The sequence below is a fragment of the Homo sapiens genome, chromosome 10, assembly GCF_000001405.40.
Source record: "Homo sapiens chromosome 10, GRCh38.p14 Primary Assembly".
NCBI lineage: Eukaryota > Metazoa > Chordata > Mammalia > Primates > Hominidae > Homo > Homo sapiens.
This window is the reverse complement of record NC_000010.11, coordinates 31,817,240-31,843,599: the sequence shown is the minus strand read 5'-3', so window position 1 is coordinate 31,843,599 and position 26,360 is coordinate 31,817,240. Positions and strand designations below refer to the sequence as shown.

General features: G+C 34.1%; 1 protein-coding gene across 10 annotated transcripts in view; it reads left to right on the top strand.

Annotated features, from left to right (window-relative positions):
• ARHGAP12 (Rho GTPase activating protein 12) overlaps positions 1 to 26,360 on the top strand; it is a 123,479-nt gene that overhangs the window by 85,277 nt on the left and 11,842 nt on the right. For 4 of the 10 annotated variants that reach the window (XM_047426021.1, XM_005252644.3, NM_001270695.1 and 1 more), the window contains 6 exons: positions 14 to 139; positions 3,889 to 3,963; positions 11,800 to 11,861; positions 17,215 to 17,296; positions 23,112 to 23,213; positions 25,714 to 25,812. In XM_047426021.1, the coding sequence (XP_047281977.1) occupies positions 14 to 139; positions 3,889 to 3,963; positions 11,800 to 11,861; positions 17,215 to 17,296; positions 23,112 to 23,213; positions 25,714 to 25,812 (546 nt within the window). Of the gene's footprint in view, positions 1 to 13; positions 140 to 3,888; positions 3,964 to 4,280; positions 4,296 to 11,799; positions 11,862 to 17,214; positions 17,297 to 23,111; positions 23,214 to 25,713; positions 25,813 to 26,360 lie in introns of all 10 variants that reach the window. The other 6 variants (XM_011519761.3, NM_001270697.1, NM_018287.7 and 3 more) reach the window with 2 other exon arrangements.

The following is a 26,360-nucleotide window of genomic DNA, read 5'->3' as shown; positions in this document are numbered from 1 at the left end:
TGTTTTGTTTTAGTATAATGCTTCATCCCAGCAGCAAAGAGAAATAATTAAAAGTAGGAGCCTGGACAGGCGGCTGCAAGAACCAATAGTATTAACAAAGTGGAGACATAGCACCATTGTATTGGACACTAATGATAAGGTAGGACTGTTGAGATTTTTGGCAAGTTCTTTGCATTATATTGTACAGTGAATTGTAACTATTCGTACTAATATTTTATGTATTTAGTAAATATTCTTTGCTAAAACATTTGATTTCTTTTGAACTAATTTAAGCTTTTGATCTGCATGTATGTTGAAATGTTACTACATTATTGTTTCTTTTACCAAATTGCATACTTTAGTGACTACATTTTTATGTATTTAGCATCAGTTTGTCATGAAGTAGGTTTTGGTTTTGAGGGTTTTGGTTTTTGCACAATAGACTGACTTATCTGTAGCTTACTGATGTGTGTACCTTGATACATTTGATCCCAGTAGGTGACAGATTTTTCTTGCTTACCTTATTTTAAAGTCACATTCTGTTATCCTTTGTCTTCAGTCTCTAGGAGGTTTCATAGGGAAGACATTTAATTAATTTTCCTCATCCCAGGTAATATTGGAATTCTATTCCCTTTGTTTCTCTAAATGCTCTCTGCAGAAAGCACTTCTTTTATCAGTCTGAGGAGTAATGTCCTCTGTTTCAAAAACGGGTAAATTTTAATGCAAACATTAGAATGGATGTTTTAAACACTTCTTTAGAGGTTACTTATTCACAGTGTAGCTTCATTTTGGGGATAAGTTGGGAACTTAGTATGAATTTGCAGAATATTAGGTATATTGATTTTGAAATGTAAAGGTTTTTTAAATCATCAGGCTTCTTGTAGCATGACTAACAGTTTTTCTGTAATTTTTAGGTGTGTTCATGAAAACAGAATTAACTATCCCTATGGCATATTTCATTATGTTTGGATACTTTCAGTCCTAAATTCCTTTATAAATAATCTCAATTTATCAGTCATAACAAGCATAATATTTTGGTACTACAAGTTACTATAAAATTGGTCTTTGTTGAATTTAAAGGTGTAGTGTTAGAAACAGCCTTCATACATGTGTATAAGATGGACTAATAGAAAACAACGAAAGTAACAGACCAGTTTCTAGTTTCTAGTTTGTAAGGATCTTGTGTTGAATATAGAGACCACATTAAAGGAATGACATTCTGGAGTCTGTGCTATTGAAGATATGCTTGAAAATATATTAGTGTTGAGATTAATCTAGGTAAGAAAAATACCTAGAGATTTCTAATAGGAAAAATTCACTCAACCAAGAACCAGATTACAATTCAGGATAAATAGGAATCTCCCAAATACCATATATACTGTTCTAAGTCAAACCATTGTTGAACCAACTCTACCGCCTCTTCATACCAGAACAAATAGGATGATTATTTTGATAATTTATGCTTAAAATTTCTTACTCCTTTTTCTTTTTTTCGACATCATAAAATGTCAAACAATCTTACTCCTTTTTAATCTCTCAATTCATTTTTTAAAATTAATTTTCAATCTCTTGCTTTAAATAACTTGCATGCTTTCATCTCATTGTCCCAGAGTTGCAAGAATATGATTTTTTTGCGATTAGAGATTTACTTATTTTTGGTAGAAATGTCTTTTTTACCCTCTACCTTACCCTTTGCAAACAGATGCATAAGTTTCTTAACATAAGGCAGTATTTTAGGTTTTGAAAAAGGGACTGACTACCAGAACAAACTAGCTAATATGTGATAAGGGATGAAGTGTGTATAACCTGAATTGTAATCACAGCAACCTAATACAGATGCTCTGCAACTTAGGGTGAGGTTATATCCCAGTAAACCCACATAAGTTGAAAATACCATTAATTGAAAATACCACAAGGTGAAATGCATGTAATACACCTAACCCACTGTACATCATGGCTTAGCCTAGCCTACCTTAAATGTGCTCTGAACATTTACATTAACCTACAGTGGGGCAAAATCATTCAGTAACATGGTACACTGTAGAATATCAATTATTTACCGTTGTAATCTGTTTACCCTGGTAATCAGGTGGCTGACTGGAAGCTGGGGCTAGATGCCTCTGTGCAGCATCATGAGAGAGTGTCATATTGAATATTGTTAGCCCAGGAAAAGATCAAAATTTCAAGTATGTTTTCTAGTGAATGCCTATCACTTTCCCATCACCTTAAAGTTGAACAATCATAAGTCAAGGACCATCTATTATTGTATAGCAAATGTTGTTGTGATGACATAGGTCCTAATTCAGTTTACAGATAACCTTGGAAGGGTAGCCGTATGTCTGTGTGTGTATGTGTGAATGCATCTGTTTCTGCCTTTTTTTTCTGTTTTTACTAAAACTATTCATAGATGTATAAGGTGTATATTTATATGCATATATCTAAATATAGATAAATGTATACATGTAAAATTATTTCTTGTTTATAATAGTTATAATTGTACATATGTTATTACTGTATTTGTGGTTTTTATTTCTGTGGGACTGAATGTGCTATGAAAAATATAATTATCATTTTATTCAGTTACTTATTTTCTACTTTATGAATCATCAGATCTTCCATCTTTCTCATACTGTTTTACTATCAGACAGTCTTAGGAATCAAAAATTGATCTGAAGTTGTCAGAAAAAAATACTTAAGTGAGATTTGGATCTTAAGTTAAATTTTTTTGAAGTTTTTTATTCAATGTGATTTTAATATTTTCTCCATTAATAGTACCTTGTTTGATTTATAAACTTGTCCCTTCAAGGGCTTCCATGTAAACTTTCACTGCTACTAGTTTCTGTATTTACAAATTGTGTGGGATATAAACCCGAAGACATTTTTCCAAATCAGTAAATGTTGAGTTAATAGTTTTTTTGCAAGTGTTACTTAAAACAAATTCCCAGGTTGGTTGACAGCACCTTCTCCAGGTTTATAGACATAGAAAACTAGAATGATACCTACGTGGAGATGAATGTTCAAAGGAACTTTTTGGTTTGATAGAAACAAATTAATAATAGGTAATGGTGTATGATTTAAAAAATTCTCTTTTTCTGAAATTATTCAAAACATCTAAGGAAATGGAGAAAATTTAAGTGGAGGTGGGCTACTGCTACCAAAAAAAAGTTTTTCAGTCTTACCCTCCATGAATAGTCCTATCAACATCTGTAATAGAAATCATATTCTGTGTTTTAATATTGACAAAGCAGACTGCTTAAAAAAAAAACACGTTATTGGTTTGGTCTTATGATACTCTTGTAGGCTTAGACATTAAAATTTTTTTTTCTGGGGAGTTATTAATATTTAAATCGTAGGTTTCTTTCTTGAATTTAAAATATCTTATTTCTAATTTTTGGAAAGTTTTCTATAAATTACCTTAAATACTAATAGCAATTTAATTTCTTATATAGCTTTTGACTAAAATTAAATTCTCATTCTGGCATTTGCTAAGGTATTTCTGTGACCTTGCCTAATCCTGGGTATTTATACTTACCATACCAAGAGCAAGTTAGTATCATGATTATAACTTATTTATCCAGAAGTGTTTAGGTTTTACTTATTTTAATATGGTTAATTCAAACTGATATAACATCATGATTTTAAGGCAGCTTGTATCATTTCTTTTGAGTAATTCCATATGCATTATTTAAATTTAACTGTAATTGCTATAAAAAGCACCATATTTTATAAACTTTTAATAACGTTTGTAGTTTTAAAATCATTACCTTATTAGCTTGGAGCTGAATATAGAACGAAAATAACGAGGAAAAAATTTGTTATTCTCTCTTACTAAGCTCTCCCACTGTGAGTAGAGGCAGAAATATAATTATATAAAATAGAGTAACTTTTTTCATTACTTATTTCTTGTAGGAATCTCCAACTGCCTCAAAACCCTGCTTTCCTGAAAATGAGTCTTCTCCCTCCTCACCAAAGCACCAAGATACAGTTAGTATGATAGAAGCATATCTTATAATGTAGTCCAGTTATTTCAATCAATTTTAGCAAGTTAATTTACTCTTAATGTAATGTTTAAATGAGCTTCTATTAAATTTCATTGGTTTTTCTAAAAAATCACAATCAAAATAAGTTTAACAATCAGATTTTATTGATTTAAAAGTCCCCCTTTTGTTTAAAATATGGTATCTTACATGATTAAATTATATACCATATTTTTAAGTGATGAACTTATATTTGTTTTTAAAAATAAATATAAAATTCCCAGACAATACTATGACATTATACTTTACTCTTTTTTTCCTCAGGCCAGCAGTCCAAAGGTAAGAAGCAATCCTCTCCTTCTTAATAGGCATAGACACCTTCATTTTCTATGCTGTAAAATATATTGCCAAGTCTGTGCCAGATGAATATTGGAAATAATATAGCTTAACTGTAAGTTCTCCTAAACTGGAAAACCTCCATGTGACTTCTGTTAAGATACCTGTCTTAACTCTGATGAAATTTTACTTAATTTCTGTATTTATACTCATTCCCAGTCTTTTCTGTTGCTGATCATGCTATTCCCCTTCAATGGCTTCTGGGTTTTTTTTCGTTACCGTTTTTTAAATAGAGACATGGTTGCGCTCTGTTGTCCAGGCTGGAGTGTAGTAGAACCATCATAGCTCACTGCAGCCTCAACCACCTGCCCCTCCCCCACCAGGCTTAGGTGATTCTCCCGTCTCAGCCTCCCTAGTAGCTGGGACCACAGGCATGCACCAGCACGCTCTGCTAAATTTTTTTTTTTTTTTTTTTTTGAGATGGAGCCTCACTCTGTTGCCCAGGCTGGAGTGCAATGGCATGATCTCGGCTAACTGCAGCCTCCACCTCCCAGGTTCAAGTGATTCTTCTGTCTCAGCCTGCCGAGTAGCTGGGATCACAGGCATGCGCCACAACACCTGGCTAATTTTTTGTATTTTTAGTAGAGACGGGGTTTCGCTATGTTGACCAGGCTGGTCTCAAACTCCTGCCCTCAAGTGATCCACCCACCCTGGCCCCCCAAAGTGCTGGGATTACAGGCATGAGCCACTGTGCCTGGCCCGCTTGGCTAATTTTTTAAAAATTTTTATGGAGATAAGGGGTCTTGCTTTGTTGCCCAGGCTGGTCTTGAACTTGTGGCCTCAAGTGATATGCCTGCCTTGGCCTCCCAAAGTGCTGGGATTACAGATGTGAGCTACCACACCCAGCCTGTTTTCTTGTAGAATGAAGCCCTAAAATTCTTAATGAGCATGACAAGGCTGTGCATGCTCTGGCTCCTGAGTGCCTCCACCACCTCATCTCATATTTCCTTTTCCCTTCTTGCTTGTTGTCCTACCACACCACCCTTCTCTCAGTTCCTCAAAGGAGCCTGCCTTTCAGATCAGGGTCCTTGTGTGTGTCATTTCTTCTGCATGCTGAAACATTCTCCCCGACATCTTTGCCTGGTTAGCTTCTATTCATTCATCAGGGCTTAGTTTGAACTTTTATTTCCTCAGAGAATTTTATTCTAATTCTCTAGGTTAGGCAAAGTTTTCCTATAATACTCTTCATAGTATTTGATTATATATTATTCGATTACATAAAATAACTTGTCATTATTTATTTCTTATAGGAACCTCCAACTCTCTATTAATGTCTGTCTTCCCCACCAGACAGAGTAAAGCTTCATTAGAGCAGGAACAGAGTTACCCCATTACCTCCCACAGTGCCATATAATAGCTGCTCAGTAAATATTTGTTGAATAAATAAATGAAACCTTAAAGCTTTTTAAAAGACAAAATTTTATTATGGCTTCTCTAGTTTATGAAATTATGATACACTGTTATTTATTAGGATACTTCAGATTTCCCAGAGGTAAAGATTTTCACAGATACTGTTTCATTTTTCTAACTCTTTCTCCATTCCCTAGTGCAATCTGGTCTTTTTGGCACTAATCAGGGGTTGTACACATTTCCTTCTGATGTTGGCTTAGGCAGTACCCCTGCCTAGAGTGGGCCTTGCTTTTTCTATACATAGTTAAATCCTATACCTCCATCAAGATGGACCCTTCCAGAAAGCTTTGTCAGACTAACGTAGCAGAATAATGTTCTCTTCTTTATCTGAACTCTCAAGTCACTAATTGCATTGAATAAGTGCAAGTTATTATATGTACTTCTAGTCTCCCTACCAGGTTTTAAATTCCTAAAAGAAGTTTAAATAGAGGACAGATAGAGACTACATGCATCTACTTATCTTTTGCATTATTTGCACAGTACTGGGTACATAAACATTACATAACGATAAAAGTGAACATTATTTTGGTGGTTTTGGCAAGAATTGCCATACGAATCTAAGGCACTGTTACTACAGTACTCTTAATCTGTCCATCTAGAAAAGTAGGAAACCCTTTAAAACTATTTTAAATGTAGGTAATGCACAGTTCCCACAAAGATCTTTTATACATTATTTTCATTTTGTTAAAAGAGAATTCCTAAGTAATCCTAGAAGCAAAGTTTTTAAATGTTGCACATGCAGTTACAAGGACTGTTTTCAAATTATTTCACCACCCATTTATCCATTTTCTGAAGTTTGACAGCAGCTAGACCATGCCGGACTCACAGTACCCTCTGATGGCCATCACAGGGAACTGCCTCGCCAATGTTTCTTCTGTTTCAATCTTTTTTTACCTTTAGGTGAAAAAAACAAACCGCCATGTTAATTCTACCAGAGGTGGTTCTGTTTTTCCATCACCAGATGGCATTCCTTTTTTCCTGAATGCTCCATCCATGCTGTTGTGCCCTCCCATGGAGGTTTCTGCCCTCTGTGACATCTCTTCACTCCCTCTGCCCTCTGGTTCCTCCTCTGCGCTTGCATGGCTTCTGGTATTCTTGCGTCTCTTTCTCACTCGTACCCAGTTACTACAGGGAGATATTTCCCTCTTTCTTTGCGAGTTAAAATCTGATTGGTATAAAGGCTTAGTGATAAGAAAGAAGGAAGCTGCAAATTTAGAAGTGGAAATGATACCATCATCATTTTCAGTTCTTAATGTCACCTTAAAAATCCCTGCAGATTGCTCATCTATCTCCTTTAATCACACCAGATTTAAAATTTCGTCCCTTAATATAAATTTTAAACATGTTAACTTTTTCTTTTCTAATTTTTAAATGATTGTTACTTTTTGTAGTCCCTTTAAATCTGCTTGAAATAGGCAGTATATACATTTTTTAAAAGTCAATAATATATTTGTCTACAATTTGACTATAATATGGATTAAATAGGTTTTTGTGGGCTGATCTAAGAAGCTATTCATTATATGTCCCAATGTACCTATGAGAATATGCATTTTAAAATTCCCAATTACTGAATACTGAGTAAAGTTTTAGAATATGCATTTCAGAAACTTGAGCTTTGATATTGTATGTCCACTTATGGTATTAATATGCATTAATCAATTTAGAGAAAAAGACATTTTAAAATTTAATGATTTGAAGTATTAATGGACAAGTTGCTTATTTTTTTCATTGAATATTACTATTCTAAGGCCTTTTTAAAAAACATGAATGTTTAATTCTTTTTATATCCATTGACTCTTTAAAAATTTTATTTTTATTCAGATAAAACTTATGTAACATAAAATTAACCAGTAACCATTTTAAAGGGTACAGTTCAGTGGCATTTAATATATTTACAACGTGTGTGGCTATCACCTCTGTTATAGGACTTTTCGTCACCCCAAAATAAAACCCATACCCATTAAAAGTCACTCCCCATTTCACCCTCCCCAGTCCCCTGCCCTTGATAACCACTAGCCTGCATTCTGTTTCTATGTATGGATTTACCCATTCTGGATGTTTCATTACAGTGGTGTTTTTTCAATGCTATAGGTACAATTGTGCAAGTTTACTTATTCTATATTTTTAAAATCTTATTATTACACAATTAACTGAAGATAAGGATTTTGATCAGGTGTATTGATTTTGGTATATCACACTTGTTAGCCTAAATTGAGAAGTACCTACTTTACTAAAAGAATGCAACATCAATTAGAAATTGTGGAGCCTGCAAAGTAATTATGAACTTGTGAAATTTTCCCCAGATTACCTAGTAGAATTTGAAGTTTATTGTTTTCTTGCCTATTAGGATAGAATAATATTGTTACTCAATTTAACCATAATTTGCTAGTCCTTATTAAAGCATTCCTGCTTATTTTTAATATAAAGTTTCTTTTAGAGTATCAAATACTTAGACCAACAAATATTCATGTATAAGTTTGTATATATTTTATGGGACTTAAGATATTTTTTATGAAGCTTTCTTAGTAAGCAACACAAAAACATTGGTTGATTTTGACACATATTATGTAGAGAAAGTATACTAAATAGTATGAAATAAAAATCTGTTTAAATTTTTTTCTTTTTTTTTTTTTTTCTTTTGAGACGGAGTCTCGCTCTGTCGCCCAGGCTGGAGTGCAGTGGCGCGATCTCGGCTCACTGCAACCTCCGCCTCCCACATTCAAGCAATTCTGTGTCTCAGCCTCCCAAGTAGTTGGGATTACAGGCATCTGCCACCATGCCCAGCTGATTTTTTTATTTTTAGTAGAGATGGGGTTTTACCATCTTAGCCAGACTAGTCTTGAACTCCTGACCTCGTGATCCACCTGTGTTGGCCTCCCAAAGTGCTGAGATTACAGGCGTGAGCCACCGTGCCCTGCCTTAAATGTTTTTCCTAACTCTTACTTGTGTATCCAAACCTATATTACCCATCTGCCTATTTATTTTTATGTCAAATTCAAAAACTTAGATATTTAATAGTTAAAGCTTTATTTTCTCTGTTATTGACCCTCATATTTCTTTCTTGTTATAGTACTGTTAATTTATTGGTAAATTACTTCATCATATATGTATTGAATGCCAACTACATGCTTGATACAGTACTAGGCACTGGTTATTGATGAACATAACAGATGTGGTTCCAACTTACGGCCTAATGGAGTGGATAATGAAGTAATAAAAGTAATAAAAAATACACAATTGTACTTTGCATTAAGGGTGTCTTAGTCCATTGGGGCTGGTATAGCAAAAATATAAACTGAGTGGCTTATAAACAACAGAAATTTATTTCTCACAGTTCTGGTGGCTGAGGAGTCCAAGATCAAGGCATTGATAAATTCACTGTCTGGTGAGGGCACCTTCCTGGTTCATAGATGGTTCCTTTTTGCTGTGTCCTCACATGGCAGAAATAACAAGGGTTCCCTTTTATAAGGGCACTAATTAGATTCATGTGGGCTTCACCTTCATGACCTGATCATCTCCCAAAGGCCCCACCTCCAGGTATCATTACATTTGAGATTAGATTTCAACGTACAAATTTTGAGGGACACAAACATTTAGTCTGTAGTAAGTACAATAAGGCAAACAAACTGAGGCAGTCATAAATAGTGGGAAGTTTACTTAAAAGTGGTCAGGAAAAGCCCTAAAGTAACATTGAAGTGGAGATATTACCAGCTACCCAGTTGCTCAAGCTTGACAGTTTCCCCAAGATCTTTGCTCTCACCCTAGCAAAAGTCCCTGTCAATTTTGTCTTCTGAATCTGTCAAATTGGGCCCCTTTTCTCTGTCACTGCCACCACATTCAGGTCTTTATCATCTCTTATAGTAATGATTAAAATAGTATTCTAGTTGGTTCCTGGTCATGCTACCCTTTCTTAGTGCATTCTTTCTGCTACCTCATTTCTTGCCACTTCTCCACCTCACCCAATACTTGGGGGAATTTAAAATCCTTCAAATATGAAATGCTGTCTTTAGCCCCTGTGCCTTTCACTGTTGGTTGTTTTTATCTCCTGCTGTTTCAGTCTAGCTGACTCCTGTTCCTTAGTTCAAGTGTCAAGTTCCCCAGGAGGCTGTCTGATGTCTTTCTCTCCCAGGTTGAGTTAGGCATAGCTTTCTCATAGCATGTATCACATTGCATGGGAATTGTTCTTTGTATTTGTACGTTTTGGGTGTAGCAAATTTTGTTCTTTATGTTCAAGTTAGAGTGATTAATAGAGCATTAGTACTTGGGTCTTGATCCCTGTGACCATTTGGTGAAAGTTCTGGACCTTTTCTTTGAGTGATGCATATATACATGCTCAGTTATGTTCCAGTTTCAGTCTATCCGTTGATTTGGGTGAGAATCCCTGATCTAGACTCTCCCTCTCATCCTTAGGCTTAGGCTGTCTATCACTACTGCTATGCCATCCATTTTTCTTCCTGTTTTGATGCCTGTGTTTCCTTCCTGCCTCTGCTTTTTTTTTTTTTTAATACAAATTCAGCTGTGGCATTTTTAAAATGGGCTTAATTCCCACCTCTCTGCCTTTCCAATTGCTGAGTTCCCTAGCTTAAGTAATCAGTGCCCATCCACTCAGATTAATGTTGTTACTTAGTTCCCATATGATGGAAAGATTGTTTTCTCCCTGCTTTTGAGGGGTGCAGGCGGCAAATTAAAAATGTTCTTCTTTAACATCTTATGCAGCTGCCTTGCTGTGATCTGTTGAAAGTCAGCCCTCAACATGAAGGTTTATGAGAAAAAGAAAAAAAAAAAATCTCACACATACTTACAATTGTGTTATTAATGTTTTTGTTGAGGAGCAACATAGTTCTTACGAAAAATATCAAACTTGCGTATCTAAGGAGATTTAAGCTGTGCTTTATGAAAAAATTACAATAAAACTTCATATGGGCTATTTCCCAAGTCCCCAGTATACCAAAAATGTAAATTGACATAGCAGTTTGTCAGCTTTGTCTACAGATGTCAGTTTTTATCAGACCAGACGAAACTTTCAGACATTGGTAAAAAAAATGCTCAATATTATGTTTATCTCTCATGCAGAAAAATGTATATTTTCTGATTAAAGTACATTGAGAAAATATAGCAGAGTAATCAGTTAAATAGAATTGGGGATACTTCTTCCTTGTGAGAGAGAGAGAGAGAGTGCGTGTGTATGAGTGCTTTAGTTGAATTAAAATTGACTATTGTCTCATACAGATAATGCTTAGTAATGTTGAATGATTACTATGGACTCAGCTCATTTTAATTAAATTCATTTGCTTCTAGGAAACTAAAGCAGTGAGAAAGTGCTTCTTGATTTCCATCTGGAAGAATTTTAAGATAACATTAACTTTAGTGCAGTGGCTTCTGCCTTCATAGGGTTTGATGATAAAGCTTGTGTCACTGTTTTTGACATCAGCTGGCTAATAAATCTAGTTTGTCTAGAGAGGAACTCACAATCTGATAATATGCTTAATGAAGCACATGCTGAATTTTTTATGCTACATTAAGGCAAGTTCTGTACATGATACCAGTTAACTTTTTAGTAATTTATTAAATACAGACACAGTATTTGGTCTCCCTATTTTTACATTTTGACAAAGTGAGTTAGTATATTGAATAATTTTCAGATTATATAGTTGTAAAATAACAGCAAAGTAAATCATTCCTTTTTTGTAGAATTTATCCTTATAGCATTGTATTCCTTTCTTTGAATAGAAAGACATAAATTATTTTTCAGTGCTGCTTTGTTCATATGGAAATCTAATTTGATAGCAAAGTATCTAATAGCTGCTGTGACTTAAGGAGAAAAAGAAGTGTTTAATTATAAAATTAAGAAAAAACTACAAAAGTATTAGGAAAGTTATATTCTTAATGTATTCTAGAACTACGCATGTTACACATTGACTAATCTTTTCTTTTAAGCTAATTTTTAGAGAACGAGACCATGTTGGTTCAGTCATGTGTAAGAACTTGGACCTCATTGTCTATGTGATTGTATAAACAGTATTACTCTGTTCCATAGGATCAAGAGAAATATGGATTATTAAATGTAACAAAAATTGCTGAAAATGGGAAAAAGGTTCGGTAAGTACACAAGTCTTTAATGTTCTTACATGATTCATCTGAAATAAATTAAAAATTCTCAATATAATTATTTTAGTATAAACAATAGGTGCTGAAGAATCTCTCACCATTTGTTTTCTATGTAATCATATATGTAAGATTGTCATGAGATTTATGAAAATTTTCCTTTGTCTTGACATATTTCCTAAGTAATATTAAGTTAAGAGGTAATGAGGCAGAGGGTTCTGAGGATGCATTTGCTTTAATATTTTTTTTTTCAGTAAGCAGTAAATGCACATGGTAAAAAACAAAGGTAGACTAAGTATTGAGTGAAAAGTCAATCCCCCAGCCGGCATTACTTCCCCTCCCCAGAGGCAATCAGTGTTAAGTCTCCTGAATTCTAGTGCTTTCCTCCAGAGATAGGATATATATGTATATGTTTGTATGTATAGAGATTAATTTTCTAAACATAATCTTTTCACAGTTTATCTTGGAGATGGTTTCACTTCTTGCTTGTAGAGCTGCCACATTGTTTTTAATCTACTGCATAGTTGTATATTGTTTGGCTGTACTATATAGTTTATTTCCCCATTATTTATTTGCACGTTTTAAACTACACTTGTCTATTGGTAGACATGTCAGTTGTTTATCATTTTTGCTAGTACATGTAATATTACATTTAGCATCTTGCATGACTCATTTTGCAAGTATGCAAATCTGCCCATAAAATAAATTTTACAAAAAGTGGAATTGCTGGGCCACTTGCAAAGTCATTTCGACAGTGTTCCAAATTGCACTGTAAGATATTGAATCCGTTTCTGCCTCCAGGAGCCGTGCATTCCTGCACACCTTTCGCCAGTTTAGTATGTTGTTAAATTCTTTGATTTTGCCAGGAGAGAGAAGAGAGAAAATGATATTTTTATTTGCATTCCTTTTTAATAGGTTACAGTATCATAAATTGTTGGTATTTCCTTTTTGTTGAATTGTTTCTTTATACCCTTTGTCTGTTTTTCTATTGGATTGTTGGATTTTTTGGTTAATGTGTAGTACCTCCTAGTGATTTAAGGAAATTAACTCTGTGCAGTATAAGTTGCATTTAAAGAGTTTTAAATTTACATGTAATTGAGTTTTTTGGGTTTGCTTTCATGGAACTATTTTTTGTCAGACTTTGGTAGTTAGATTTTTTTTTTAAGTGCTCTGAAATAGCTTTATAAATACTACAATTATGTATCCCTTAAACTGTTCTTTGGTAGAATTCAGTTGTGAATTGAGTCTTTATTTTTCTTTCTCCATTTTGGGAATATGTAGTGCAGATAGCTCTTCGGCTACTTTCTTTGCTTTTGTTTTTTTTCCTATGATAGTAGCCTTTTAGATTTTCTGCTTCTTTTGGAATACTTTTTTCAATTTATATTTACCTAAGGAAATCATCTATTCCATCATCTTCAAATTTATTTACATTGAGTTGAGCAAAATCTTTAGTTTCCTATGTATTAGTGGTTCTTAAACTTTTTGGTCTGAAGACTCCTTTAAATGCTTAAAAATTACTGAATATTCTAAAGAGCCTTGGTCTACTCTCTATAACCTTATAGGTTATATCTACAGATACTGTGAGAAATTAAAACAAATTTTAAGGATAATTTTTTTAAAAATACCTATTACAAATTGACACAAATATTTTTTTGAAGAAAAACTATGTTTTCTAAGACAAAAAATTTCCATGAGAAGAGAGGCATTGTTTTACATTTTTTTGTAAATCTTTAGTGTTTGGCTTAATGGAAAACAGATGAATTTTCATCTCTGCTTGCAGTCTGTTGTGACATATTATTTTGTTTGAAGTATGTGAAAAAAATCCTTTTCACAACTAAAGGTGGAAAATGGAGGAATGTTTTAAGATATGTTCAGATAATTGTGCATTTTCCTGCTGCTCCGAAACTCTACAAATGGTAGTTTGTTGAGGGTTAGTTGTAGTGAAGACTCTGAAAAACTGCCGGTGAACGGTTCATACTCAGTTACATTAAAAGCCGTTGGTCTTTGTTGCACCTGAGTGAATCTTTGCCCATGCTTAATTTTATAATATCTTGTAGGTCATTTGTAAAATACTAGTTCACTAACTTTGCTCATTTCTCAAATGTTTACACATTTTATTTATAATATCAAAGAATCATACATCAGTACTGTCAGAAAAGTATTGGGACGTTGTCAAATCCATTGTAGCAGATGCCAGGTGTTCCAAAGTTCTACTTTCTGTTTGAAAGCTTCAATTTTTTTTATGGTGGTAAAAAAATACATAAGTTTGCTATCTTAACCATTTTTAAGTGTACATCTCAGTGGTGTTAAGTATATTCACATTGTTGTGCAACAGATCTCTAAAACCTTTTCATCTCATAACGCTGAAACTCTATACCTACTAATTCCCTCTTCCTCCATCCCCCAGCCCTTGGTAACCTTTCTGCTGTTTCTGTGATTTTGACTACCTTAGATATTTTGTATTGGTGGAATGATATGTTATATGTATAACTTTTGTGACTGGTTTATTTTGCTTGGCATAATGTCCTTGAGGTTCATTCATGTTGAAAGTTTTGTTGTTGTTGTTGTTGTTGTTGTTTTTGAGACAGAGTCTTGCTCTCTCGCCCAGGCTGGAGTGCAGTGGTGCGATCTTGGGTCACTGCAACCTCCGCCTCCCAGATTCAAGCAATTCTCCTGCCTCAGCCTCCCAAGTAGCTGGGATTACAGGCATGTGCCACTACGCGTGGCTAATTTTTGTATTTTTAGTAGAGACGGGGTTTCACCATTTTGACCAGGCTGGTCTTGAACTCCTGACCTCAGGTGATCCGCCCGTCTTGGCCTCCCAAAGTGCTAGGATTGCAGGCGTGAGCTACCATGCCCAGCCTCATGTTGAAAGTTTTAATTTTTTGTTGTCTATAAATAATATTATTTGTTTTCTTTGAAAACTTCATTTATTTTTAAGATAATGTTTGTGTGCCACATATCCAGGTCTGAATAACTATAGTATGTACATCAGTTGTTTTTTCAGGAGAAAAAATGGGGTTCCAGGAAAAAAAAATGTGACTAATTCACCTTGCAACTAAGTCACGCAAGTGCTTAGTCCTTGAGGCAATAATCGTTATTTTACTATTTATGTATTCAATATTTGTTCTCAGATATATATCTACTAGTTCTACAGTTTTTCTCATTTTGAAAATTGAACTAAAAAAGCTTACTTAAAGTGGAAATAGGCTAATTTAAGTATTTTTCATAGTAGGGAGTCAGTAGATGATATCTAAAGAAATAGAAGACTGAGAATATAAAATGAATTTACAAAAAATTAAAATACTTCCAAAATATCTTCAGATCCAGAAAATGAAATAATGATGACAGAAAAAGCACCATCTATAATATCAATATCAGTAAATGTAAATGGACTACTCATCTATTGAAAGAAAAAGGTGCTCAGACTGAAGCATAAAAAAGCAAAACTTAACTAAATTCTATATGTAAAAGAAACACCTAAAGATGATTCAGAAAAGTTGAAAAAAAAAAGCAATAAGGTGTGTCAAAGGTATAGAAAGTAAAGCAAGACTAGGGATATCAGTAGCAAAGTTCATCCTAGGGAGAGAGCATAAAGCATTATGAAAGTAGTATTTAAAATGGTAAAGCATGTGCAGAAGTCCACAGTGAAGATGTAATTATTAGGAATCACCATTTACCAAATAAAGTAGCATTAACAAACATAAGCAAAAAAATACAGGAAATAAATGGAAACATAGAAACTTAGTAGTAATTAACTTTATTTCACTAGTAGTAATTAACTTTATTTCACTTATCTTAATCCATAAAGTTCAACTAGACATAAAAAGTAATTTAAAAAAAGGTAAGTCTTATTGATAGATATTAAATTCTACATTCTGAAAACAGAAAATAAACCTCCTTTAGAGGTGGTTTTTTTTTTGTTTTTGTTTTTTTTTCTGGGTGACGGAGTCTCACTCTGTCACCCAGGCTGGAGTGCAGTGGTGCAATCTCGGCTCACTGCAAGCTCTGCCTCCCGGGTTCACGCCATTCTCCTGCCTCAGCCTCCCGAGTAGCTGGGACTGCAGGTGCCCGCCACCACGCCTGGCTAATTTTTTGTATTTTTAGTAGAGACGAGGTTTCACCATGTTAGCCAGGATGGTCTCGATCTCCTGACCTCATGATCCACCCGTCTCGGCCTCCCAAAGTGCTGGGATTACAGGCGTGAGCCACCGCACCCGGCCTAGAGGTTTTTATAAAATTGGCCATATGTTTGGCTATAAGGATAGCTTTAATAAATCCCTGCAGTAGACAGATTTGACATTCATTTATCTTCCTAGCAACTGTGTCCTTATATAGGGTAATTTTAATTTATTTTCCTACTTGTAAACACTGATTCATACCTGCTGTTTGAAAAGTACTGTGCTAGGCCTGAGGCAGATAAAAAATAAAAATAAAAACTGTTTTGTTTTTTCAAATAATTTACAATTCCTATGAGAGAGAAACATTTACATAAAAATCTCTAATATGATAAGGGAGAAGTTGAGGGGAATCTGGCTGGGGTGTAATATTCAAAAGCTTTAAAGTTCTAAATGGGTGAACTGATAATACATATGCTGTGTGAGGCGTACCTCTGTATCTGGAGATAGGATAGTAGATAAGTGGACAGTTTCTTTAAAAGCCCCATATTATACCAAAGTCTTAACATTGGTTACCTCTAGAGTATGGATTGAAGAAGAAATGGGATTCCCTTTCCTTTACACATTTTTGTTTTCAGAGTTTTTGCATACCGTATATGTGTTGCTTTTGTGATGGAGGAAACATTTTGTTTTTAAATGTCGTGTGGTCTATCAGTGTACAATTCATTGTATGCCTGTAATGCACCTAGTACCTACTACCTGAGTACTCCAGCCCAATTAGGGGAAGGCAGATCACCAAGAAATGTAACACAGTCTGTATAAAGAATTAGGTGAGTGAGGGAAGCGTGTTTGTCTAATTTTTACTTCTAAGTAAGAATTCTTGATAAATACAATATTCCACTTGTGTGACTTTAAAATAAATTAGTGTCTTTGATCACAAAGTGCTGTATTAATTTCACGTGAACATAATTACATGCGTCATTCATTCATAGTTATTTCTGATAACTTCTCTGATTAACTTCATTTGTTTTGGGGCCTTCATGATCAGGTTTGAACCATAAAATGACTGTAAATTGCATTAGTATCTATCCCCAATAAAAACAATTAAAATGTCAACAAGGCTGTAAATTGTAGATAACATTGATAAGAGCTAAGTAGGTCTTAATTTTTTGAATTTGGCTGAAAGAACTCGAGATTGGAGCTTTAATCGGTCATCTTTATAATTACAGAAAGAACTGGTTGTCTTCTTGGGCGGTGTTGCAGGGTTCATCTTTACTTTTTACCAAAACTCAAGGAAGTAGCACAAGTTGGGTAAGTATTTCTTCTCTTTGGAGATTTTATACATTTAAATTATGTGAATAGTATCGTACCTGAATTTCAGGAGGTAATTTCCAGAGTCCTTATAGTTATAGCTAGTGTGCAAATAAAAATGAATAAAATCTTCTTAAAGATTCATTTTAACTTATGAGAGAAAAAGAGGACTAAGTAGGACAGTCTAATTAGTGGTGTTATTAAAATCAACAGATTCTGTTTTATCCATTCAACTGAAAAGTGGGCTTATTACTTGGGCATTATAGAGAAAATACATTTCTTGATTCATTTTCAGGATGTTAAAGCTTTGCTGTGTTTGTGACTCTGCTATTTCAGATATTTAGTCAGAAAATAAGCAGTAATGTGGCAAGCTGTATCTTGAATTGTGATCTGACCATTGGTTACAAATCAGTGATTGAGGTGTCAGTGTCTGGATTGTCAGCCAGCTTTCAAAAGAAAAAGAAATGTCACATTACTTGTGGGATTTTGAAGCTTTTTATATATTTGAGTGCTTACTATCATTACTCTACTCTTCAGTTATTTGTAATGCAAACATTAAAAATTATAATTTGTGACATATAATAGCTACATTTTTTGAATGCTCATTCTGTATCCCACATATGTTGTCAGTGCAGAGGATTGTGTATATATTGTCTCCTTAACGCTGGGATAGCTATTGCTCTGATTTCGCCCTTCCCCCGTCATAGATGAGAAAATGAGGTATAAAACACTTAAGTATAATAATTTGTTCAAGGTCTTACAGCTACCAAGTGGCAGGTCTGGGTTTAGAACTTTGGCTTTTTGGCTCTAGAATCCATGCTCTGGCTATTTCTAAAAGTTTTTGGTAATTGAGTTTGAAGTGCTAATGCTCAAGTAAAATTTAAAATGAAATTATTCTAAATGTATTTGGTCTACCTCATATTCTACCGTAACCAATATTTTATTACAATTAATGAGTTTCTTTAAAATTAATACAAAACCTATGGATCTTATGTTTGATGAAAGAAAAGTCCATTTATAAAATTTAAGCAAATTTTAGTCATCCACATTTATAATGCAGCCATGCAACATGGTTCTGAACCCCAAATGCCACAGAACACATTATTCCTCAGCTTCTCTGATGAGGAAACCTAAAAATCCACATGAATTGAGCACGGATGTGAACATTCTAGATCGTTTCTTCTGTTTTGTTTTACTAATCTTTTAATTTGCTCCCTGTTCAGCCATTCCAGTGGAAATGACCTGTGAAAGGGTTGAAATTTTGGTTTGATATATCTTAAAGTAAATGGATAATTATGTCTTTCTCCTTTTCCTCGAGGTGAAACATGTGGGGCTCTTTTGTGTTAATGCATTTCTAGAGGACTGTGTAATTGTTTCTTTCTTCCTATTTACGGCTCAACTTTTATTTCAAATTGAGTGAAGAAAATGGATGAAAGAAAAGGAATGGAGAAGCAATAAGAGATTAATAAGTCACTTTTAAAAGTATCTGAAGAAAGCTGGATAGTGGTCACTTATTTGATAATTACTGATACTTAAAGATTGAAGGTTGTAGCAGGAACAGATGAAGCCATTAGACAGAGCATCCTGTAGGTAGGCAGGTTTGTATGTGATTTAGATGAAATGAAAACTTATTTTGAATTTAAAGATGTTAAATGAGTACCTTCCAGTACATAATCATTAGTACAGGATGGTTACATTTTTTAAAATTTATTTAAAGTTTTCACTGTAGAAGATCTTACACACGATTCAGAACTCATGATTAAAACTAATACTGACAAAGGAGGTGAGGTATTTCTGTTTATCAGCCAAGGTTGTATTACTTTGTTACCATGTGGCAATAGCCGAAACATAGTTTAAAATTTACTGAGCAAGCCAATTTGAAATTTTAGAATTCTCAATGAATTTTTAATTACAGGGAATCACTATTTTAATTTTTACCTTTCAAATGACATCTTATTACTATTGATATAGTATTAATATAATCAGTTCAGACAGGTATAATTTTAAAAAACATAACCACACCATTTTATAGTCTCAGTAAAGACTAAACAAGATTAAAGATGTGGTGAAATGCTTGGTTGTACAGTCAATTCTTAATTTGTATTTTATGGCTAATTTTAAAACCTCAGACTGTTTTGTTTTCCCCATTGCTACATATTTAAGGGAGCGAGAACTAATTTGAATGGCCTAAGTAAAAGGAAGTAAGAGTATTTAAAAATCATGTAAGTGCGTATAATGTATTATGACCCAAGAACATTCATAAATACCAAAATTTAGAGAAACATACAAGATGCTCTTTAACTCTGGAATTGGGATTATTGAAAGGAATGTTAAAGAATTCTAGCTTTGTTGATCTGCTCAGTCACCAACTAGATCTGTTATAGGTAAAATATATTCTCTTTATACAGCAGAATCACATCTTACCTGAGAATAAGATTCTAAGGCTAAAATGTAAGCCAAAAAACCAACAGTCACCTCAAGTGAAAACTGCTCTTGAATATTCGTTAGGAAGATGCTATACAGAAGCTGATCTCTAGCAGAGCCCATATTTCCTTTGGTGTTAGAAGGAATAGCTTTTCCTTCAGTTGAGTTTGAATGGCTTATGTTAAGGGGCCACATTATAGGAGAAATCTATATAGTTCTTTAAAAATTAGATTCACACTTAGTACAAAAACTTGAGATCCACTTGAGGAAATAGCAGGTTCAAATCTTCTACTCACTCCAGGGCAGGTACTCATGAATGGAACGCTGAGCACAGTCACCCACGCTATTCAAAGTTCTATTTTTAAAAAATTATTCATGGTTCGTATTGATTTTTTTTTTTTTTGGCAGAGAGTGGATGGTTAAAATTGAGTAAATGAAATGCACGTAGGCTGCATGCAATTCCACTTTATAAGAAATATTTTACATTGGTGCTGTCTCATCCAAAAATCTAGTGAGCCTTTTCTTCTCTAGGACAGATACCTTCCACTGGTTTTCTGGAAAACGGTTATCCACTGGATTGCTATATCACTTAACATAAACTTGTATTTGTTTTTTTCTCACTTCAGAAATGTATGTTTGTATGTTTGTTTGTTTGTTCAACAGACCTAAAAGCCTGCTGTGTTCTGGGCATTGTTAAGCTTTGGGTTTAGAAAGAAATAACATGGTCCCTGGCTTCAAAGCTTACGTAGTAGTGGGGAAGACTGACAAGTGAACAGGTTCAGTGTGACATGACATATGTTGTGCTTCTTTTCAGTTATTATTCATCATATTCCTTGAGCATTTAAAAAATCAACCCATAAATATTGGTAGTTATTCAAACATTCATTTGTACATGCTTTCAAATTTCTAAAAATAGTCACTCTTTTGGGCTAGATAATTATTTGTTGTCGGTGGGGCTGTCCTTTGCGTGGTAGGGTGTTTAGCAGATGACTGGCACTCCGCCTCTAGTTGTGACAACTAAAAATATCTCCAAACGTTACCAGATGTCCCCCAGAGGACAAAATTCCCTGTCTCCTAGAGGAAGTATCAGTGTCCTAGAGGAAGGGAAAGGCAGGCTAGATGGTAGGGCTACTCCCAACAGATGACTTGGAAAGGGACACCAGAAGATACTACTCAGCAGGTCACGAGGAGGAAGCTAGGGGATTTTGGACAGGGTCTAATCAAGATCGTAAAGGGCCTGACATGATTCCTCCCAATGGCTAACACAAGTCTGTTTAAGATAAATTCTATAAAGCATTCATCTTAAAAATGAAACATAAATTTATGTAATAATCATCAGGATAAATTCTAGGACCTTTGCAAAGTTATTTGGAAGTTGAGCTTTGCTTATGTTGTATGTCTGCATATAGAATTGTATCTTTGTCTTGTCTGGTTCCATTATGCTTTTCTCTTGTGTGTCATTTTGCTGTTGTGCATTGTTATGACATCATCATTTTCTTCCCTTTTCCATCAAGTCCTTCTGCCAACAAGGCTCAGTCTCTGAGCTCTTGCTTTCGCTGCTTTCTTCTTGGAAACACTCTGTCCGTCGTCGGCCTGCTGTTGCATATGTAAAGTCTGATCCTGTTTCAGCTGTCACTGTATGTGTTCCTGTTGCATGCCCTTTGCCACAATAATTCTGTTTTCTTTGTGATGAATACATTGGTGGGGAGGTTGATTACAGTAGAGAAAAGTGGGACTAGATTTTGGAAAATAATAACTAACGAAATGTTGCCAGCTATACTGATTGCATTTTTTTTTTTTAGCATTCCATGTCATGTCATTGTATTTATATTTAATTGCTATATCTTATTTGGTTGCTTATTTGTATCTTAGCTTAGAGCTACCCATCTACAGCGTGTATGATGACAATAAATTAAATAATTGATTTTTGTCATTTTGTTAAATGTATGTTCAAGTTTGGTAACATTTGCAATACATCATTTCTGCTCAGAAAGTTATGCCCAACATATAGCTTTATGTTTAATTTGTCTTTCGATTGACAATGGTACTTCAGGCAAAGACTTTGTAGAATACAGTTACAATTTCTATTGTGATTTTTATTATGATTCCACAAATAAATTCCATGTAATATCTCAAAATTTTCATTGACTCCACTAATAAATTTTATGTAATCCTAACTTTTGTTTAAGTTCACACTGATAGCTAAAAAGATGTAAACGGGAACAGGTTGAGGCAAACTGTATTTTAAATGTGAAGCTCCTGAATAGAGTTACTGAGATTACAAATAGTGAATAAGTTATCACAAAGTTGGGTAAGATAATTTCTAATGACAAATTAATTTGATTTGAAAATATTTTTAGCAAATGAAATTCTCTGTAGGAAATATTTATAACAGATTTTTATGATCTTTAGATTACAATTCAGTAGACTTTAGGGTTTTAAAACCTTTAAACTTTTCAATACCATAGGAATGTTACTTTTTATACTTAACAGACTAAACAAATTTAAAGATGTCAAGGTACAGAGTAAGTGTATATTTAACATAAATTTTCTACTACTTTTGCTAATCTTTTCCTTATCTAGTTAACAAAATATAATAGCTAGCTAAGTACTTCTGAACCCACCCGTAACAACTGTCTTCCCATTCTTTTCATAGTTCCTCATTAAATTGCTGATGCTTTATAGCATCTGTCTCTAGTTACAGTTTCTGACAAAGATAAAAGAACATGGGACTTAGTGTTTTCTGTTTCCACAAGTTGTTGTTAACAGCGTAACTACTCAATAAGGAAATACTTCTGAAAGCACAAAATCAGGTTTAGAGAATGTTTATTAGGTAGAAAATGCGCTTGTTATCTACCTGATACTGTTTATTACATATATAAGAGTATTGCCTTTGTGTACATAGCATTTTACATAGTCATGTGTAGTCTAGGATAAATTCCAAGATACAGAACTGCCAAGCCAAAGTATACATGCATTTGTAAATTTGCAAATATAGCATTACCAATTTTTCTTTTCTAGGAGTAGTTCCAGTTTATATCCCACTTGCATATGAGGCCTTTTTAGTCTATAGCCTCACCAACATAGTTTTGAAAAAATTTTTTCCCACTCTGGTGGGTAAAAAAAATTTCAGTTTGGCTTTATATATATATATATATATATATATAATATGATGGAAGTTGAGTCATTTTGTTTTCTGTGAATTGTGTATTCATATATTCTAGATATTTTTCAATTTTAAAGTAGAAATTGTTACTTTATAATAGAGAAAAAGAAGAATTTGAGAAAATCTATTTGATTTATTGTTAATATAAAATTGTTCTTAATTATTTTTGAATACACATATATGTGAGTATCACATGAAGGTTTTTTTTCTTTTTCAAAAATGAAGTTTGGCAGTAATCAGTCCAAACCAGAGTTCACAGTGGACCTCAAGGGGGCAACAATTGAGATGGCTTCAAAGGATAAATCCAGCAAAAAGAATGTATTTGAGGTAATACATTTTTTTCTAAGTATAACACATTCTAAACTGTAGTAATTGGATGTTCTGTTTTTTGAGCTATTTTGGGAAATAGTCTTTCATTGTGACTAGTTAAGGCAAAGTTGGTGATTAAGTTAGATGGTATTGTAATTTAAGAAAAAACTGGTGTAAAAACTGGCTTTATTTGCATAAGTTGTTTGAACTCAGACTGTATATTACAAGCCTTTGTTTCACAAATCCTATCTTTTGCCAGCAATAATAAAAAGGATGTGGTTCCCTTTACTTACCAAATCTAATATTAAAAAGTAAATTAAGGGGAATGTTGATAATGGGGAGGCTGTGTGTGGGGGTGGGCAGGGGGTGTATGGGATATCTCTATATCTTCTTCTCAATTTTGCTGGAACCAAAAACTGGTCTAAAAAATAAAGGCCTTTTTTTTTTTTAAACCTTTCCATTTTATCTTTTAAAACCCTCCCCAGTAATATATGATCTGTATTAGTTACTTATTGCTGCATAAGAGACCACCTCAAAACTTAGTGGTTTAACAAAAGAACCATTTTGTTTGCTCAGCCTGGCCTGGGCTGAGCTGGGTGATTTTTCTTCTAATCTCACTTAGGACTATTCATGAGGCTTCAGTCGTCTAGTGGCTTGATTGGAACTGGATGGTCTCAAGTGACCTCATGGCTAGTATTGGTGCCAGCTGTTGGCTAGGCCTCCTTGTCCGCAAGATCTTTCATTCTCAAGGGAGCTACCCCAGGCTGCATCAAGTGACGGCCTCAGGATTCCAAGAGGGTGAGGGTGGAACCTGCAGGGCTTCTCAGGGCCTAGATTTGGAAGTCACACATTACTTTCAGAGTATTCATTGGTTAAGACTGTTCAGGAGACTAGCCAAGTATTCAGAGTTGTGGGAAGAGAGGCAGCCTATTGACAGAAGAGCAGCATTATCTGTCCCATTCCAGAAGGGTGTGGTTACAGAGATCCAAGACTGATTTTGTGGACAGCCTTCCAGATCCCAACCTCTTTTTGTAGTCTCATGTCTCAGGGCTTTCCTGTTGTGTTGTGTAGACAGATTGGTTTAATTGCTGTTTTCCAAGTGGAGCCCAGGTTTTCTGGTTTGTCTGATTTTTACTCTTTATTGTTCTGCCTCGAGCACCAACCCATGCCAATCTCTCCGTGCCAAATGCTCCCTTTCTTCCAAGACTCATGACAAGCATCACCATAACAATGAGGCTACTTCTTTATTTATAATAATAAATATTTATTTAAAAATAATATTTAGTGTACTTGGGTTATCATTTGTCAATTATTTCTCTCATTAGATAATTACAATTTTTTTGTTTTTCCCTTAAGTAAAGAGACTATGTTTTTCCTTTAAATAAGAACCTATAACAGAGCAGAGTATCTTATGTGCAGTAAACATTCAATATTGGTAAACTGGCTTGACCAACACTAGAAAAGTGCATGAAAGAAGTCACTGTTTCCTGAATTAGCCTTGTAGTTTCAAAAGGTAAATCAAGAATAAAAATGGTTTCATGGTCAAATAAATTTGGGAAGCAGTGTATATTTTATTCCTATCTTAGAAAATCACAGTGCACCCTAGAATATCAAAAGCCTGTGACATCTTGAAGGAGAGAATCTAGTTATATTTTCTTCAATCCAGTATTTTCCAAGTTAATATTATATACCTTTTTCAAAAATTTATTTTTTGAGGGTACCTTTTTAAAACATTATTTGTGAAACTATGTTTGAGGACTATGTTTTTCAGAATGTTTGGGAAGCATTGCCATATCTTCCTCTAGGAAAAAAAATCAGTTTTTAATCGGAAAATGGGAGGAGTGCTTTCCACAAATGTGTCAAAATTCTTCCTCACTTAAGTTTAAGAAACTGCAAAACAGAGATTGTACATAAATTAGTTATTGCCTTCATATAGAATAAACATAGTATTCTTACTTCAGCTCATGATCTGACACTTAATTTAGTAATACTTCCGCCCAAAAGGGGTGTGACATTTATGCCTGCTCTTTGTACTAAGCCATTATATTTACCTACAAAGTAGGAAATATTGAAAGTCTTTATGTATTCTTTCTTCTGTATTTTTTAGCCAGAGAGACAGAAAAAAATTTCTCAGGTTGTGTAAAAATGTCATAGATTTTATTTCTTTATCCTAATTTAGAATGCACCACTTTGATACTTGAACAGATTTTTAAGTGATAAACGTACTAGTTTCAGCAGGTTTTATGGCATTTGTGTGATGGTGTTTGGGATCCTAAATTATTAGATTTTTGTGAGAATTTATTATGAGAAACAACTTTATGTTTTTTTATTCAACTGATATTATTGTAAACCAAAAAGGTATTCCATAGCCGTGTAGTCCTTTAACCTTGCATCATTGTTACATAATATATGGCAGCTACTCTTGGTGGTTTTGTTAACTTTGAATTAAAGGTATTCATGTATTTTGCTGAAAGCACAAACTGACCATACTCTTTTTTCTCCCTGCTTTTCTCTAAAGCTGAAAACTCGTCAAGGAACAGAACTGCTAATTCAGTCTGACAATGACACTGTTATTAATGATTGGTTTAAAGTTCTTAGTAGTACAATCAATAATCAGGTATGTCGTTGACTTAGGTAAAATTTTTACTTCAGAGCTGTTTTTCTTTTTTTTTTTTAATTGCTTATTGGATATCCGGATTGCAATCTATATGTGAAAAGGCACTTTATATATGTTTGACAGAGATGGAAAAAACAATGGTCAATTTAGCAGCCCCCCAGGGCTGGTGAATGATTTAACATTCTCACTTATGTGATGTTTGCTACCAGTGGATTTGAAATAATGTTCACATCAGGCATTGGCTGAAAAGAAATAGTTCAAAAAGAAGGGGTAAATGGTGCTTACTACATAGTATTTATTCAATAACTGAATGAGTTGGAAATAATACTATTTGGTGGAAGAAGTCTGAGGCGAGCTTATGAAATGAAAGAAGCTGTAGTCTCTTCATTAGCACTTTTTCTTTTCTAGTGACAGTTCTCTAGTTTTTCCGCCTCTCCCCTCCAAGCTGTTCAGTACCCTTGTGTTCCTAGTATATTTCTTCTTCTTTATATACAACAACCAAAAATAATCCTGGGTTTATATTCTGCAGGTATGTTAGTAAGAACGTT